General features: G+C 63.6%; 1 protein-coding gene across 11 annotated transcripts in view, besides 5 other annotated features; it reads left to right on the top strand.

Moving 5' to 3' along the window:
• The window catches only part of INF2 (inverted formin 2), a 41,403-nt gene that overhangs the window by 11,179 nt on the left and 13,330 nt on the right, over nt 1–16,894 (top strand). For 7 of the 11 annotated variants that reach the window (NR_190061.1, NM_001426863.1, NM_001426865.1 and 4 more), the window contains exons 2-10: nt 9,046–9,445; nt 10,794–10,909; nt 10,984–11,143; nt 11,605–11,638; nt 13,724–13,865; nt 14,599–14,740; nt 14,942–15,691; nt 16,125–16,276; nt 16,360–16,421. Coding sequence is in view for 10 of the 11 variants with exons in the window: in NM_001426863.1 (NP_001413792.1) it covers nt 9,055–9,445; nt 10,794–10,909; nt 10,984–11,143; nt 11,605–11,638; nt 13,724–13,865; nt 14,599–14,740; nt 14,942–15,691; nt 16,125–16,276; nt 16,360–16,421 (1,949 nt within the window). In the remaining variant the exon portion in view is untranslated. Of the gene's footprint in view, nt 1–9,045; nt 9,446–10,793; nt 10,910–10,983; nt 11,144–11,604; nt 12,499–13,723; nt 13,866–14,598; nt 14,741–14,941; nt 15,692–16,124; nt 16,277–16,359; nt 16,422–16,894 lie in introns of those variants that run through there. The other 4 variants (NM_001426868.1, NM_001426866.1, NM_001426867.1 and 1 more) reach the window with 1 other exon arrangement.
• Nucleotides 1,233–2,220: an enhancer, noted in NCBI's record as "H3K27ac-H3K4me1 hESC enhancer chr14:105159881-105160868 (GRCh37/hg19 assembly coordinates)". NCBI's record gives its function as "activates a minimal SCP1, AML or CMV promoter by ChIP-STARR-seq in naive H9 embryonic stem cells {active_cell/tissue: H9 hESC(naive)}" and the evidence as "EXISTENCE:reporter gene assay evidence [ECO:0000049][PMID:30033119]".
• Nucleotides 3,308–3,499: a silencer, noted in NCBI's record as "fragment chr14:105161956-105162147 (GRCh37/hg19 assembly coordinates)". NCBI's record gives its function as "represses an EF-1alpha promoter that drives an FKBP-Casp9 reporter gene in an ReSE screen in HepG2 liver carcinoma cells {active_cell/tissue: HepG2}" and the evidence as "EXISTENCE:reporter gene assay evidence [ECO:0000049][PMID:32094911]".
• Nucleotides 9,141–10,128: an enhancer, noted in NCBI's record as "H3K27ac-H3K4me1 hESC enhancer chr14:105167789-105168776 (GRCh37/hg19 assembly coordinates)". NCBI's record gives its function as "activates a minimal SCP1, AML or CMV promoter by ChIP-STARR-seq in naive H9 embryonic stem cells {active_cell/tissue: H9 hESC(naive)}" and the evidence as "EXISTENCE:reporter gene assay evidence [ECO:0000049][PMID:30033119]".
• Nucleotides 14,141–14,731: an enhancer, noted in NCBI's record as "H3K27ac-H3K4me1 hESC enhancer chr14:105172789-105173379 (GRCh37/hg19 assembly coordinates)". NCBI's record gives its function as "activates a minimal SCP1, AML or CMV promoter by ChIP-STARR-seq in naive and primed H9 embryonic stem cells {active_cell/tissue: H9 hESC(naive and primed)}" and the evidence as "EXISTENCE:reporter gene assay evidence [ECO:0000049][PMID:30033119]".
• Nucleotides 16,417–16,566: a silencer, noted in NCBI's record as "silent region_6194". NCBI's record gives its function as "represses an Ori minimal core promoter by ATAC-STARR-seq in GM12878 lymphoblastoid cells {active_cell/tissue: GM12878}" and the evidence as "EXISTENCE:reporter gene assay evidence [ECO:0000049][PMID:35858748]".

Here is a 16,894-nt window from a genome sequence, read left to right on the forward strand (position 1 = left end):
TTCTGCCAGGAGGTGCTGATAAAGCCCCTACTGTGTGCATCTGCCCTTGTGCCCAGAGCCTGGAGCCCAGCCCCGCTCAGCACGGTGCCAGGCAGGTGCAGGGCACTTACTGGGGGTCAGGGTGCAAATGGGCTGGCCCCACAGAGTAGCTGGAGGCCGAGGCCCCCCAGCCCTTGTTGCTACCACTGGGGTAGGCTCAGGGTGCTGGCACTGCCACTCTGGGAATAGGACAGGCCTGTCCTGGTCAAGTAGCCATTACCGGGCCTCCAAACTCGGGGGTTGGTGGGGCAGGAATAGGCCCGCCCTCCAGGCAACCACCTGTGTCACTCCAGAGCAGCCCATGCAGACAGACAACTGCCCAAGGGCCAGCCTGGACCCCGGAGCCCTCCCAGCCAGTCGGCCTGGGTCACAGCCTGGGTGGAATGACCAGTGTGGTCACAGCCCAGATGGGATGACTAGCGTGAAGGCCCTGAGGACCTTGCCACGCCAATGGCCAAGGGCAAGGGCCAAGGCTGCTTTCCTCTTTCGCCTGCAGCTTTTCCCAGAGGCAGCAGGGAGGGAGAGAGAGGTACCAGGAGAGTCCTGAGAGAAGGGCCAGCCTGGGCTGCCCCGAGCCTCTGTGCCCTCAGTTCACTCCTGTTCTCACCCCAGAAGGGTGACTGGCCGTGGCTGGGGCACCCTCCATCTCCCTCAGCCCCAACCTCTGTCTGTTGGAAATGGCATGGAGACCCAGAAGGAGCAGATGGGCACCACTGGAGGCCTGGCCAGGCTCCTGGCCGCCGATCAAGGCCTTTGCAGGGTCAGAGGGACATGGGAAGATGCTGCCAAGGCCCCTGGCCCTGGTGCCCTGGGCAGGGACCCTGTGCTCCCGTGCTGTGACAGCGTTATACCACCCCACCTGCTTCCTGTGACCTGGACACAGTCTGAGCACCCCAAGGTCCAAAGTGGGAGAGGTGGGGTGGGGGAGAGGGAGTGGGGTGGATTGGAGGGCTGTCCTACTGTTACAGGGCTCTGCCCCGGGCCCACCTCACAGTGAAGGCAGAGGCCCCCAGGCAGCCCTTGGTGGGCCAGAACTCAACCAGGAGCCACACTGGGGGCGGAGGGCAGGCTGTCTGCTTCCCATTTTGCAGACGAGGGCTAGTGTCAAAGCCTAGCTTTGAGGCTAACCCAGGGCACAGTTGAGGAGGGAGGGAGAGGGAAGCAGTGGCCGCTGAGCACACCAGCCCCGGGTAGTGGCTTTTCTGTATCATCTCCAAGCCCCCATTCAGCTGCTGTGGGCAGAGGCCAGCCCCAGCCCCTCGCTCTGCCCAGCGAGTGGCCAGCTGCCCAACACGCATGGAGTCCCAGTGGGCATGGCCAGTGGTGCAGGGGTTTGTTCGTGCCTGAGCTGTCCTGGCCCTCGCCGGGTCGGGGGTGGACGTGGCCAGCTGTGCGAGGAGGGCCAGCATCCCACTGGCCTCCATCTCCCCATCTGTACCTGGGTCCTTGCAGGCCCTGGGACATGGCCTCGGTGTACAGCCTGCCTGCCCCACCCTCTGTGCCCCCGGGTCCCTGTTCCTGCTCCAGGCACAGCTCAGACTGTCGCCTGCACCCAGCCTACGCTGGGAGGAGGACACAGGGTGGGGGTGAGGGAGTAGCCACCTGTCCCCACCTGCCTCTGCTTCCACCTTGTGCACAGACATGAGTGGCCTGAGAACGGGAGCCCCTTGGGGACACCCAGGGCCCCTGCCTATGCTTCCATGTGCAGAGGGCCCCCCCGGCTGCCCCTTCCCTGGGCCAGGCCAGGCTGTGGAGGTGCAGGCCCAACAGTGAGGGGCTGCCTGCAGGAGCTGGCAGAGCCATGGGCCGGACCCAGGAGGGGCCACACGGGCGGTGCTGGCACAGCCAACCCAGGTCAGAGCTACGGGGCCCTGGAGAACATCCTGGCCATTTTACAGATGAGAAAACTGAGTCCAGAATGGGCCTGGCTGTCCCAGGCCCCTGGCACCCTCGTGTCCCAGCAAGCATTGCCAAGCGGCATGTTGCACCCACGCTGAGGATCTTGTTTGCCCAGTTGGGCCTGACGGGCTCCCTGGCACTGGCTGCCTGGAGCAGAGGTCAAGAGACGCTGAGCAGGGGCTGGGAAGATTCATGCAACGTCCTAGCTCCGTCCCAGCCGCCAAACAGGAGGTGGGCTGAGTGGGAAGGCGGGCGGTCAGTGCGTGGTTATGCACTGGCATTACAGGTGGCATCTCGTCAATCTGTCAGTAAGCTGTGGGGGTGGCATTGACACACTCATCCGCATTTGAGGACAGGAACCAGGAGATCCTATGGGTCACAGGCCGGTCAGCGGAAGAGCCCAGTCTCACCCTGAATCAGAGCCGTCCCCCACCCTGGGCCCTGGTAGCAGCCCCTGGCCGTGCTGGGTGCGCAGGCTCAGCCTCTCCCCCACTCTCAATCTGTCTTTGTTCTCCCTGCTCCTGGGAAGGCAGCTGCTAGCGGGGATGTAGGCTGGGGGCAGGGACCATGGAGCCTGGCTCGTGGGCAGGCAGCGGGCAGCCGTCTTGTCTTGGCACAGGCAGGGTGGGGGCTGGACACCCTGGGGCCCAGCTAGGCACACAGCAATCAGGACCTGAACCCTGAAGCCGGGGCCTGGCTCCAATGAGCTGCTGCCCTTCCCCCTCCCAGGTTGAGAGAGGCTTTTTCTGAGGACAGAGGAGGGACCTGGGGCCTCGGAGGAGGCATCTCTGAGTATGTCTGGTCCGGGGGGAGGAAACCCAGGTGGGAGGATTCTGGTGACGAGCTCCTGGCCACCTGCCCTCATTGCCCAGCAGACCCCCTGCAGGGTACGTCTGGGGCCTGCGATAGGCCAGCCCTGGGCTCATGCCACCTGCAGGGCCTGATCAGGCCCTGTGCCCTTCCCAGTCCCTAACCACAGATCTGTACACGTCACTCCCAGCCACAGCCATGGTAGGTGCTGGCAGGCCCTCAGGCCCAGGAAGTACTTCCATGTAGCCGCTCGTCCCCCCATGCCTCTCCCTGGGCCCCCAGACTCCAGCCCAGACCCCTGAGAACGCCAGAGGTGACCAGGCCCTCAGGGAGCACCCCGTTGGCCCTGCTGTTTGTGCAGTGGAGACACTGTGGCCTGTAGAAGGCCCATTCGGTGACTGGCGAGCCGCCCACCCACCCAGGCCCTGCACACCCTCAGTGCAGGTGGAAGCGAGAGCTGGGCTTCCTGGCGTGGGGCCTCCGCCCTTCCTGTCCTCCCTTGCCTGGGCTGCGCTTGCCGACTCTCCTCCCAGTGACCCCTCCTCCCAGTGAGCCGGGGCATTTCCTGTTTGCTGCATCCCCCTACCCCCCCTACAGAGTCACCCTCCTCCCTGTGGCTTCCACAGGGCTCTGTTCCTAACCCAGGAAGATGTACCTTCCCCAGGCCCATTGTCTGCCCCAGATCCTGGGGACACAGAGAGCCCAGCTGTAGCCTGGCTCCCGGGCCAGTGGTGTCCCCTGGCGTTCAGTGCTGGCCAGCCCGGACCCCCCAGCCACCTCCACCGACACTTGCCAGAGTGCCATGAAGGACCCCTGGCCCCCAGCTCTGCTCTCTGGGTGACCCAAGCAGGGGCTACCACCGCTCTGAGCCCAGCTTCCCTCTGTGAGATGTTGCTGTCTTTTGATCATTTTGCTTGCTTTCTTCCTCAGTATGAAACGACCATATTCATCCGAGATGCAGCTTCAGTTAGTGATTGGGCAGGTGTCCCGGTGGTATCGCACCCACCATGTGATTGAAATCCGTCACCATGCGGCCTGCTTCCCATCTTTGTCTTCTGATCATGATGCTGCTGAGAGCGCCTTTCTGCCCACCTGCTCCCAGGGGGCCCTTCTGTCCTGCTGTGGGTCCTCACAGTGGCCCGGGGGCCCTCTTTGCACAACAAGCGGAGTTCAAGATCTTGGAGGGCTTTGGAGGCAGGAGCCTTGCACTCCATCCAGATCTTGGGGACTGCAGGTGGCATGAGGGCTGGAGTGCTTCTTGGGTGTGAGACGGGCCAGGTGACAGTGAGGACACAGCCAGCCCTCACCAAGGCCCAGTGCGCCCCATGCCCCTGGACACGTGGCAGTGGGTGGACCCCCATCCTCACCTGCCTTGAGGCCCCCTGTGCACAGACCCTCCCTGGGCCTTGCCGGCAGTTGGTGAGCCACCAGGTCAGTAGAGGTCCCTCAAGGGGCTGTTGGCCTGGTGGGGAAGGTGACACATGCTGGAGGCTCAAAGGAGCTGGGAGTCTGAGTGTGAGGGAGGGGAATGGGGGTCATGGTAGGGCAGGTTCAGCTCCAGGTGCCTCCACCGCCCTGCAGGGCCTGGGCTGCCCAGAACCCCGGGGTGCTGCCAGGAACGCGTGCAGTCCTGGAGATCCATGGGTTGCCAAGCAGTGGAAAAATTGGGGCTCTCGGAGGAGCTAAAAATACAGTGTGGCAGCCCCTGCCTCCTAGTTCCGGAATCCTCTCCTGCCGTTCTGCCCACCCACCCCGTGGAAGACAAGCTCCCTCCCTGCACCCCCACCACCAACGCTGGCTCAGGGCCCAGAAGCACCCAGCCCTGTGCCAGTGCCAGAAGGGCGACACCACAGCTGCCTGCCCACTCCCAGGCAGCAGCCCCCCACAGGTGCTCATGTGCCCAGCCAGTGCCTGCCCTACCCCCGCCACTGCTTCAGGGTCCCCAGAGCCCCTTGGTCCCAGGCACAGTAGGCAGTACCTGCCACCCCAGGGCTGCCAGGCTCAGGGCTTGGCCTGTTCCTCGTGGGGAGCCTGGACCCAGGCAGACCTCTCCCTTCCCTACCAGTGGGGACTTCACAGGGGAGGGGGCTGTCCCAGGCAGACTCAGAACATGTCACAGCGGGGGCCTCCAGGCCCATTGGTGCTGGCCGAGGGCATAGGAGCTCCCACACTGTGCTGTGGAAGGCCCTCCTCGCCTGGCTCCTGGGAGGCAAGTGAGGGAGCCGAGGCCTGGGGGCTTCAGTGGCTGGCTCAGGTCCCTCGCGTGCTGGGATTCAAGTCTGGGTACCCTAACCCTGGCCTGTGTGCCGCTCAGAACCATGGGCCCATGCAGGAGCCCCCAGCTACTCTCCACAGCTCGGTGCTGGGCCTGCCTCAGGAGCCCACACTCCCTGGCTCTGGTTTTCTGTCTGCACCGCAGGGGCTAGGCACATGGCTGCAGGTCTAGTGAAGGCCAGCATGGCCCTGTCCCCACCCACACCACACACTCAGCTTGACTGTTGACTGCTAGGCGGGGCGGTGGCCCGGTGGCTTCCCGAGAGTCAGTGCAGCTGCCCTAGCATGTAGGCATTCGGATGGAGGTGCTGGCATCACCACACCAGGCTGGCCAGGCCCAGGCCCAGAGGGGGACCCTGCCTGCCAGAGCTAGAGTCAGGGGAGAGGCATGGCCCCGTCCTCTGGAAGCCCCAGGCTATTGGTTGACAAAAGCAAGTGCTGAAGAACCATGGTGATGTCCCACTAGCATGGGTGGGGTGAGCCCCTCAGACCTCAGAGTCTTCATCTGCAAAAGACCCTGCCCTGTGCAGTTCCATTGGTGCTGGTGGACTGCCGGGGGGGGTGGATGGGACGCCCCTTCTTGGTGCCCTGACCCTTTTGCTGTCCAAGGCATGGGGTCTGGCCTGAGCCATGGGTACTGGGCCCTGCAGAGCCTGGATGGTCCTGCCCTGCCTCAGCCAGAGCTGGTGCCGGCTGTAGAAAAGATTGCGAAGAACGCAAATTCCTGTGCCTGTGGGGAGGTGGCCACGCCCTACAGCCGGGGCTGGGGAGCTCTGAGGACACATTCCTGCGCTGGTGGCCCCGCCAACCCACTTTCCAGATGGAGAGCAGAGGGGAAGGGTAGCCTGCCCAGGGGCACACAGCTCAGCAATGAGACTCCCGCCCCCTTCCCTTCTCAGTTGGCACTGGCACCTTCCAGCGTATTGTTCCCCATAGCCCCGTGCCCCTGAGATCAGTAAACTGTGGATTCCTTCTGGAATCCTTGCAGAAGTGGACACCACCCCCCAGTGAGAACAGGCAAGGCTGTTTTTGCAGAGCTCGCTGTAGCAGGGAGTCGGCCACCGCCACCCGCGTTTAGCAGAGACTCACAGGCGGGCGGGGGAGTGGGAAGCCTCATGGTTTTCTCATATGGATAATTCACTCTATACATAGAAAGCTTTTTATAGACACAGGGAAGGCTCGGGGATGCCCTGAGAGAGGCTGCTGGCTGGAATTTGGGCTCCTATGAGATGAGACAAAAATCACAGAAGCTGTCAGTTATTACCCAGGTCCCAGCCATTTGGGGCCAGTGGCCAGATTGCGGGTCAGAGTGCTGCATATATGGTCTGGCCGTGGTGTGTTTGCAGGTTCAGCCTCATGCTGAAAAGCAGTTGGAACATTCTCCGGTGTAGAGCCTGACGGGGGGCCTGGGTGAGATCGGGCAGCCTTGGCAGCACCACAGAAGGAGGAGAGCAGCTCCGGCCTCAGCCTCCGGGGCCTCAGCCGGAGCCCTGTCTATGCCGGGCCGCAGCCCAGCGAGACCCTGTTACACTCACTGCCCCCAGACAGCACCCGGTGGGACACGGCCAGCTGGGGCAGCTCAGACACAGAGCCAGGCACCCAGGCACGGGGGTATAGGAACCTGATGGGCAGGAGGGCCAGTTTCCTCCCACCGTGGCTCCACCCCACTGACCAAGGGGGATCCTCTTGACTGGGGTCTTTCAGGGGCTTGCACAGGGCAAGGAGCGCTGGGCAGTGCCAAGAGGGGCAGTACTCAGGTCAGGGAGCATCTTCTGTGTCCAGGGACACCCTGGGGCCTGGGGCACGGTGGCTCTCGGCGGCACTGCTTGTCTCTAAAAGGTCAGGATTTTTTGCATGGAGGGACCCCCGGGGCTCTTGGCTGGAGAGGACACTCTGGATGCCAGGGGCCGGGCCTGGGAGAGTTCATAACTCCGTCCACTCAGCCTGTGCCAAGGGGACAGGGACTCCGGCCAATGGAGGCGGGGGAGGAAAGGAGGGTCAGTTCTGGGGCCTCTTTAGGCAGCAACAGCCAAGGCGGGTGGGAATATATGCAGAGGCCCGGCTGCCTGGCTCTTCATGGTGGTGGGAGCAACCCTACTGCCACCAGGAGGGGCGTTGGGGACCTGAGGCTGCCTGGGAGGGACCCGGCTGTCTCTGGCAGCTCAGCGGTCAGCAGCGATGAGAAGCCAGGGGAGCGTGAGGAGCAGCCCAGGACAGGGCCCAGAGTGGGTGGGCAGAGGTGGCCGGAAGGTCTTGCGCATCTGGGTGAGTGGACGGCCACTGGGTGACCAAGAGGGCCGGGCCTGGGAGGGTGGCTTAAAACCACAGTGCACCGGGGGCTCCGGGCTCTCCGTTCTACAGTGCCCAGACCAGGACCCCCTGCAGGGAGGAGGGGCATCCCAAGGACAGCCTCTCAGGATGCTCCTGGCAGCCTGGTGCTGGAGGTGCAGAAGAAGAAACTGAGGCCCAGGCAGGATGAGTGACTGGGCCAAGGTCTGCTGGTGAGGGCCCGGGCTGGGGACATGCAGATCAGAACCCTGGCTTACACCTGTCAGGCTGCCTCCTGGAAGGAGCCCACTGGCCCCCTGGGGCAGTTGGACAGGTGGAGGGCTGAGGGGCGGTGCGGGGAGTAGGGGCTGGACTGCCGGAAACACCAGGCTTGGTCGTGGACCAGGCTGGGGAGTGGGCCTGAGACCTCAAGGGCAGGTGCTCCAGGACACTCTCCCAAGGCAGGAGGGGAGGAATAGAGCCTCCTGGGGAGGCAGGCGCTTGGGTGCTCGACCCCGCTCAGCTCCCGTGACCTCAAATGCCCTTCAGCCTGGGGTCCCCTGACTTACCGGGTTGGGCAGCACTTGAAGCAAAGCCATGTGGGACCTCCAGTCACAGCCCAGCCGTGCCCAGGTGTGGGACTGTGGGCACAGACCCAGCTTCTCTAGGACCCAGCCGCCTCCAGTTCCCCACCTGTTGTGGGAGGTATAAAGTGCCTGCCTTGGAGGTGGTGGGAAGCCGAGGGCCAGGGTGGAGAGTGCTGGGCCGGGGTGGAGGCTCAGAGCGTGTCCCTGCCAGGCCCGGCCCCCTAGCTCCCTCCCCGAGGCTCCACGCTGCTGTTCTCAGACGCTAAATATAAGATCTAAGCCATACATGGTTGCAGGAGGGCCTGGGATGCCCCTGACCTTCGAGGCCAGTTCCCAGGGTCTGTGGTTGGGGACAGCGGCTGGGGGGATGTGGTGGCGTGGAGCTGATGTCAGAGGTGCAACCCGCCTGTCCTGCTGTTCTGTTTTGGGGAAAGGCACGTGTTGGGGCTCTTCTGGGCTGGGCCTGTTACCTACCCGGGTGTTCCCAGGGCTGGAGTCAGACCTGTTGCGACTGAATCCTGGTAAAACCCTGAGTGCCAAGGGTTTCCGTCTTCCTGTTGGTGTGGGCCCCCTACCCACATGCAGACGGGCAGACTGAGGCCCAGGGGAGACCTGGGAGTCGCCCCTCCTCCCCAGCCACGCTGCTGACGCTGTGGGCACCCCAGGCATGCCTGAGGTTTGGAATCTCCCTGTCCATATTGTCCACTGGGGCGGGGGAAGTGCCCTGGGGTGAGATAAGGCAGCCTCAGATGCGCCGTTTTGTCGCATCATTACCGTGGGTAATGTTCCAGCCAGGGGAGCCTCCCGCTCCCCCGAGTCCTCCCCAAGCTCATCCGGTCCCGTCACTCTGCAGGGGCCGTGCTGGCCTCGTGCTGCAGGTTTCTGAGCCGGCTCCTCCCCTCCCAGCCCTGAGCCTCGGGGTCCTCATGCGCGCAGTAGGGCCCTTCCTGCCTGCCGCCTCGGTTGCTGAAATTCGGTCAGGGATGGGTACAGGGAAGCCTAAGATATAGTGGGGGACACAGTGCTACCCCTAACCCTCAGCATGGCACGTGAGCAGGAATTGCAGCAGAGAAACTGAGACCGAGGGAAGTGGCCCCGCCTGCGCTGGTGGCCAGGAGGACAGCCCCCATCCCCTCCCCGCTGACGGCTCCCTGCCCTCTGCCTGCAGCTCGGCAAGATGTCGGTGAAGGAGGGCGCACAGCGCAAGTGGGCAGCGCTGAAGGAGAAGCTGGGGCCACAGGATTCGGACCCCACGGAGGCCAACCTGGAGAGCGCGGACCCCGAGCTGTGCATCCGGCTGCTCCAGATGCCCTCTGTGGTCAACTACTCCGGCCTGCGCAAGCGCCTGGAGGGCAGCGACGGCGGCTGGATGGTGCAGTTCCTGGAGCAGAGCGGCCTGGACCTGCTGCTGGAGGCGCTGGCGCGGCTGTCGGGCCGCGGCGTTGCACGTATCTCCGACGCCCTGCTGCAGCTCACCTGCGTCAGCTGCGTGCGCGCCGTCATGAACTCGCGGCAGGGCATCGAGTACATCCTCAGCAACCAGGGCTACGTGCGCCAGCTCTCCCAGGGTGAGCCGCAGTGTGGGAGGGCCGCCCAGGCGGACGCTGGGGACCTGGTATGAGGCTTCAGGCCCAAAAGGCCCCGGGAGGCCTGGGGAACCACCAGGAGGAAGCGCAGCCAGGCAGGCAAGGAGGGCTTCCTGGAGGAGGACTGGCTTCCTGGGCTCAGGAAAAACATCCACATTCACTCCGAGTCTGAGGCTTCCAGGTCACCCCAGTCCCCGCACTGCTGCACCAGCGGTCCCCCTGTGCCCCTCTCTGTTGTGTGGCTCTGCCCCACCCTTCCTCCCCGTCCTGTGCTGGCTCCCACCCTCTGGGCTCTCTGCCCTCGTCCACACCTCGGCGGCAGGAGTCACTGAGTCAGAGATGCGAATCCACCCGAGTGGCTCCCTACATACACCTGCCTAGCTCCAAGCCCTTCAGCCTCAGCCCAGACAGAGCCCTTGAGGTCTGGCCCACACCTACTGATGGTGTCACCCTCCACCTCCCAGCGCCTTCCCTAGCGCCTCCCTCCCCGCCCTGTCCCCTACTCCAGCACCCAGGGGACTCGTTCCCGGCAGGCAGGCAGGCCCTTGGTCTCTGCCTCTGCTCGTGTTTTCTGCCTTTGCGTCCTCCAAGGTCCTGCGCCGCTAAGCCTTTAAGCCCCAGCTCACTTTCCTGTCCTCCAGGAAGTCTCCCCAGGCTGTGCCCAAAGTTAGTCCCGGTCCCTTGAGAGAAACCCTTGCTGTGCCACTCCATGGCTGCTGCCAGGTCCTACCGATGCTTGGGGACGAGCTAGGGTGGGCAGTGATGGGCGGGGCTGGGCCCATGGGGGCGGCAGTTACCTGTGCAGGCAAGCAAGCCAGAGGCGCCTCGTTTCTGTCGGACCCAGGGGACAGAGGCAGGTGTAGGGGCCAGCCATTCTCAGCCCGTCTCCCCAGCCTGGGCCTGGCAGGGCCCCTCTATGGAGTCTTTTGTGAATTGTTCTCAGCAGGGTCAGATGAGAGACACCCCCAGAACTTTCACAGCTCCAGATGGGGTGGGAGGCAGGGGTTCATAGGAATGAGGTTGTGTCTGCCATAAACACAGTAAGTGCTGCATTGGGAGAAAAGCTGGGCCCAGAGCCAGTGACAGGATGGGGCAGCTGCCTCCAAGCCCTTCCCTGCAGGGTCTGGCCCTGTGGTCCAGGAGCAGGGCCAGGACACCGAGGAGTGGGGCACCTCGTTGGGTCCCAGCCCACTGCTGTGGGCCACAGACAAGTGCCCGGCACCCCCTGGCGTCTGCCTGCCAGGCCCAGAGCCCCAGCCCTGAGCCCAGCTGCACAGGCATGGGAAGGGGTGCATTGGCCCTGCTGAGCCTGCCCACTCCACCCTGGCAGCCCTGGACACATCCAACGTGATGGTGAAGAAGCAGGTGTTTGAGCTACTGGCTGCCCTGTGCATCTACTCTCCCGAGGGCCACGTGCTGACCCTGGACGCCCTGGACCACTACAAGGTGGGCGGCAGGGCCTGGGCCTGGGCACATGGGGCTCCCTGCCTGGGTGTGCCCTGACCCCGCCCTCCCCACAGACGGTGTGCAGCCAGCAGTACCGCTTCAGCATTGTCATGAACGAGCTCTCCGGCAGCGACAACGTGCCCTACGTGGTCACCCTGCTTAGCGTGATCAACGCCGTCATCTTGGGCCCCGAGGACCTGCGCGCGCGCACCCAGCTGCGGAACGAGTTTATCGGTAAGCACCTGCCCTGGGCCGCATGCCCGCTCCTGCCCGCCTCTTGGCCAGTGCATCCCATGCTGCATCCACCTGGGGAGGTGGGAGCGCCACAAAAGCTGCCCCCGACCCAGGGCCCCAGAGGAAGGCGCCATCTCGGGCCTGCCACCACCTGCCCCTTCAATGGACACAGGCCTCAGAACGCCTGGGGGTCAACCCTGGACCGTTCTCATTTGTGAGACTGGCCAGGCAGTGGAGCCGGACAGGGGGCCTGAGACCTCGTTCTAGCCCTGCCAGTTCTGGCAGTGAGCCCTGAGTAAGCATCACTGTGTGTCCAGCATGATGTCTCCCCTCCAGAGCCTCAGGTCTCTGGTGTCCCATGAGTGCAGCAGGGCAGGGTCAGGTGCTCTGGGTGGCAGAAGTGAAATGGGGAAGGCGGGGAGTGGCCTCCGAACCCTCTGACCCTGTCCGTCCCTTCCCAGGGCTGCAGCTGCTGGACGTCCTGGCTCGCCTGCGGTGAGTCCCCACTGTAGCGGTCCTGCCGGCTCCCCCTCCTGCTCCCAAGGCCAGGCCCACCTGCCCTTTGGCTCCCAGCCACCTCACCTAAGCAGCACCTCCAGATGGCAGGGAGGTGGCTCCCTCGGAGTAACCCCAGGGGTCCAGCCAGAAGCCAGGTCTCAGGCTAGAATCCAGCTCACTGTCCCTGGCAGCTGCCCACAGAAACTAGGGTTGCAGCAGCCATAGAAAGGACAGAATGAGCTCATATCCTTTGCACACCGTGGATGGAGCTGGAGGCCGTGATCCTAAGTGAACCAACCCAGAAACAGAAAATGAAATGCCAATAAGAGGGAACTACAGGGTGGTTCACGTGGACGCAAGATGGAGACAGGGACACGGGCTCCAGGGCGAGAGTTGAAAAACTACCTACAGGGTACAGTGTTCGTCGCTACTTGGTGTCAGGCCCACTAGAACAAGGGTCCCCAACCGCCAGGCTGCGGACCGGTACCTGGCCTATTGGAACCGGGCCACGCAGCAGGAAGTGAGCGGTGGGCGGGCATTCCTGCCTGAGCTGCACCTCATGTCAGATCAGCACTGCATTAGATTCTCCAGCGCACGCACGCGCGCAAGGGATCCAGGCTGCGCGCTCCTCATGACAATCTAATGCCTGATGATCGGGGGTGGAACAGTTTTATCCCTAAACCATTCCCGTCACCCCAGTCTATGGAAAAATTGTCTTCCACAAAACCAGTCCCTGGTGCCAAAAAGGCTGGGGACCACTGCCCTAGAAGGCAAATCGCCTACGTTACACAGTGTACCATGTGGCAAACACGCACATGTACCCCCGAGTCTAAAATAAAAATTTTTTAAAAAAGAAACTAGGGTTGCCAGGTACTGTATGGGACATGCAGTTCATTCAGGTTTCAGATACACAACAGACGATATTTTGGTGTAAGTATATCCCAGATGTTGCATGGGATATACTTATGCCAAAAGTTATTCATTGTTTGTCTGAAATTCAAATTGAACAGGTACTCTGTAGTTTCATTTGCTAAATCTTGCAGCCCTGCTGGGAACCCACATAGCTGAGAAGCTCTATCCAGGCCTCAGTCAGGACTGTACTCAGGGGGGTGTCCTTACACCCAGGGAAATCAGCTTGGAGGAGCCCAGGGCTAGAATGCCTGGTGTTGAAATGGCCTCAGGGGCCAGGCGCGGTGGCTCACGCCTGTAATTCCAGCACTTTGGGAGGCCAAGATGGGCAGATCACCTGAGGTCAGGAGTTCGAGACCAGCTTGGCCAACATGGTGAAACCCCATCTCTACTAAAAGTACAAAAATTAGCTGGCCGTGGTGGCATGTGCCTGCAATCCCAACTACTCAGGAGGCTGAGGCAGGACAATCATTGGATCCCAGGAGGTAGAAGTTGTAGTGAGCTGAGATCGTACCACTGCACTCCAGCATGGGTGACAGAGCGAGACTCCATCTCAAAAAAAAAAAACAGAAATGGCCTCAGCAAAGTTTGCCCACATGGGTGCCTGTGCCCCACCAGTGTGGGCTGAAGGGGGCCGGCCCTGCCTGCGGAGGGCTGTGCTCATTGACCAGACTGAGATGACTGGCAAGTCCTAGGCCCAGTGAACACTAAGTTTCCTCCTGCTCAGGCCAGAGCCCCGCCCCTCCTGTATCCATGCAGCCCTGTGGACCCACCTCAGGTGTGGTCTTCACTGTAGTCACGCAGCGCCCAGGGGAGGGCCTTCCCTCCCCCAAGGTCACGGCCCGGTTCCATTGTGTGCCACCTCCCCAGGCCTTGGTGCACGTTACTCGATGGGAGTGGGCATACTCGCCCTTCCCCTTCCCCAGGGGCGTGCGGGTGCCTGGTGACCCGGGGGCAGCCTGGCAGGGCGCAAGGCACTGACCTGGGAGCTGCCACTCTTAGGTCGCTATCCCTGGCTATGTGGGTCACATGTCAGCCACAGCTGGCTATGGCCTGGCTCAGAGTCCCAGGTGGGCTGAGCGGGGCTGGTACACTGGCGCTGACCCAGGCTGCCCCGCCTGCGTGTTGGTGGTGGCAGCAGCAGGCTTAGCCCACCTGGCCCCTCCTGCACAGAGACCTGGAGGATGCCGACCTGCTGATCCAGCTGGAGGCTTTCGAGGAGGCTAAGGCCGAGGACGAGGAGGAGCTGCTGCGAGTCTCTGGCGGGGTCGACATGAGCAGCCACCAGGAGGTCTTTGCCTCCCTGTTCCACAAGGTGGGCTGGGGGCTGCAGGGCGGAGGGCAGCCCTCCAGGGCAGGCTGTGGCCCTGAGGTCCAGAGGCTGGGCCTGGAACGGTCCTCCCTGCCCTGGTCAGACCCTGCTGTGACCTGGGCCATGGTGCCAGCTTTGGGGTGAGACTCCAGGGAGCAGCAAGGACCCAGGGGTTGGAAAGGGAGGTGGCGCCTAGAGCGGGCAGCCTGGGGGCCGGGCTGGGCCCTGGGGGCAAAGCCAGGGCCACAGGACCCAGAAGGACGGGGCTCCAAAGACCAGTGCGGCCCACAGCCGGCCTTACTGTCCTGGGCCCCAGCTGCCCAGTCCCCATCAGGTGGGCTTCAGAGGCCTCAGGGCTTGGTGAGGGGCTAAGAGGCTGAATTCTCGTCAAGCTCAGGCCTTCCCCTCATTCCCTGAACCTTGCAGCTCTCATCTGGGGGCAGTTGTGTCCCCAGGTGGCATCTGGCAACATCTGAAGACATTTTTGGCTGCCACGGCTGGGCAGGGGGTGCTGTTGGCATTGAGTAGGTAGAGACCAGTGGTTCTGTTTAACATCCCATAATGCACAGGACAGTCCCACATGTCACCAGTACCACAGTCGCTGAAACTCTCATCTCTAGGGATCCGTGGGAATAGAGGGGGTGATGGGGCTGGACACCCTGGCAGACAGGCCACAGTCCTTAGTCCACCAGGGAGGGGCCGGCTGCTGACCTGCACCCCACACTCGCCCGTCCAGGTGAGCTGCTCCCCGGTGTCTGCCCAGCTCCTGTCGGTGCTGCAGGGCCTCCTGCACCTGGAGCCCACCCTCCGCTCCAGCCAGCTGCTCTGGGAGGCCCTGGAGAGCCTCGTGAACCGGGCCGTGCTCCTGGCCAGCGATGGTGAGGGGGCGGGGCAGGGGCGTAGGCACAGCCTGGTGGGCAGACACTGAGGTCTTAGACCATGGGGGGGGGAGCCTGCCCTTGGCCCCAACCCATCCTCTGCCCAGGGGAGGTGGCCGCTTTTTCCTGCCTCTTCCTCAAGCCCCCATCCCTCCCTCTCCGGCTCCCTTCTCCCTTGACCCTGGACATCCCCTACTGCAGCCCAGGAATGCACCCTGGAGGAAGTGGTTGAGCGGCTCCTGTCTGTCAAGGGGCGACCCAGACCGAGCCCCCTGGTCAAGGCCCATAAAAGCGTCCAGGCCAACCTAGACCAGAGCCAGAGGGGCAGCTCCCCGCAAAACACTACAACCCCCAAGCCCAGCGTGGAGGGCCAGCAGCCAGCAGCAGCTGCTGCCTGCGAGCCCGTGGACCACGCCCAGAGTGAGAGCATCCTGAAAGTTTCGCAGCCCAGAGCCCTGGAGCAGCAGGCGTCCACCCCACCCCCACCCCCACCCCCACCCCTGCTCCCTGGTTCCAGTGCCGAGCCCCCTCCCCCTCCCCCACCACCCCCCCTGCCCAGTGTGGGGGCTAAGGCCCTCCCAACAGCACCCCCGCCCCCACCCCTGCCAGGCCTGGGGGCCATGGCCCCCCCAGCACCTCCTCTACCACCACCCCTGCCAGGCTCCTGTGAGTTCCTGCCCCCACCACCTCCACCACTCCCGGGCTTGGGATGCCCGCCCCCACCCCCACCCCTGCTGCCTGGTATGGGCTGGGGCCCTCCTCCACCCCCACCTCCACTACTGCCCTGCACCTGCAGCCCCCCCGTGGCGGGAGGCATGGAGGAGGTCATCGTGGCCCAGGTGGACCATGGCTTGGGCTCAGCATGGGTCCCCAGCCATCGGCGGGTGAACCCACCCACACTGCGCATGAAGAAGCTGAACTGGCAGAAGCTGCCATCCAACGTGGCACGTGGTGAGGGTCCCCAGACCCCCAAGGGAAGCTTCCCCTAGGACGGGGGCTGGTCTCTGCTGGGGAGAGGGGCAGGTGGCACATGGAACTTGTGTGCGCGTCCTGCCCGTGCGTGGCCAGGGCAGCCTGGCCCTTGCTCTGGGCTCGGCGCCTGTGGTTGAGGTGGGGACGGGGGAGGAGCAGGGCAGGGGCTACCTCTGAGGACCCCCCTCCACATGCTCCCGTGAGCCAGTGCATCTGGGGTGCCATGGTGCCCTGGGGCCCTGCTACAGGTGCTCAGGTAGGGAGGTAGGGTGCCTGCTGTACGCTGGACCTGGACCTACTGGGCCCCAGGCAGGACATCCTTTAGACCCTCTGGGAGGCTCCAGCCCCTGCCTGCTGGATCGCCAGGCCCCGGGGCTGCGAGAGCCTCACTGGCCGTGTCCCCACCCGACAGAGCACAACTCTATGTGGGCGTCCCTGAGCAGCCCCGACGCCGAGGCTGTGGAGCCCGACTTCTCCAGCATCGAGCGACTATTCTCCTTCCCTGCAGCCAAGCCCAAGGAGCCCACCATGGTGGCCCCCCGGGCCAGGAAGGAGCCCAAGGAGGTGGGGACGGGGAGGGGACTCAGACCGGGGCCGCCTGCCTGGCCACCCTCCGGTACCAGCCTGTTGGGTGGGGGGTTTTCTAGATCACTTTCCTCGATGCCAAGAAGAGCCTGAACCTCAACATCTTCCTGAAGCAATTTAAGTGGTGAGTGAGGGAGGTAGCCCCCATCCCAGGCCACGGAGCCTCGCCTCCACCTGAGCCTTCTGACTTGGGCCCAGCAGTGCCCTCTGCAGGCCGCCATGGGAAGTGCACACTGCATCCCCTAGGCAGGATTGTAGGCGGGTAATAGCCCCATGCTGCCCCAGCTAGGGGCTGTCCAGGCTCCCAGGGACAGAGCGCTGGGACCTCCCCCCACAAGGCCACAGACAAGTAGTGGCTAAACCAGTGGGCCCTGACTCTCAGCCCCCGAGTCCTTTCCTGCTGCGGGTGTCCAGCACTGGCCCGAGGGAGCTGGCTGGACCCGACCCATCCTGCATCTCCTGAGCAGGGCCCATGGAGGGTAGCGAGGGTGGGAGTCAGCCTGGGTCCCCTTCACCGCGTGACCGTGGGCAACAACTCGACTGTTCTGTGTCCCCCCTGCCCTGGCCACCCCATGACTACGTGGGGAAACCCTGCCA

The sequence above is a fragment of the Homo sapiens genome, chromosome 14, assembly GCF_000001405.40.
Source record: "Homo sapiens chromosome 14, GRCh38.p14 Primary Assembly".
Classification (NCBI taxonomy): domain Eukaryota; kingdom Metazoa; phylum Chordata; class Mammalia; order Primates; family Hominidae; genus Homo; species Homo sapiens.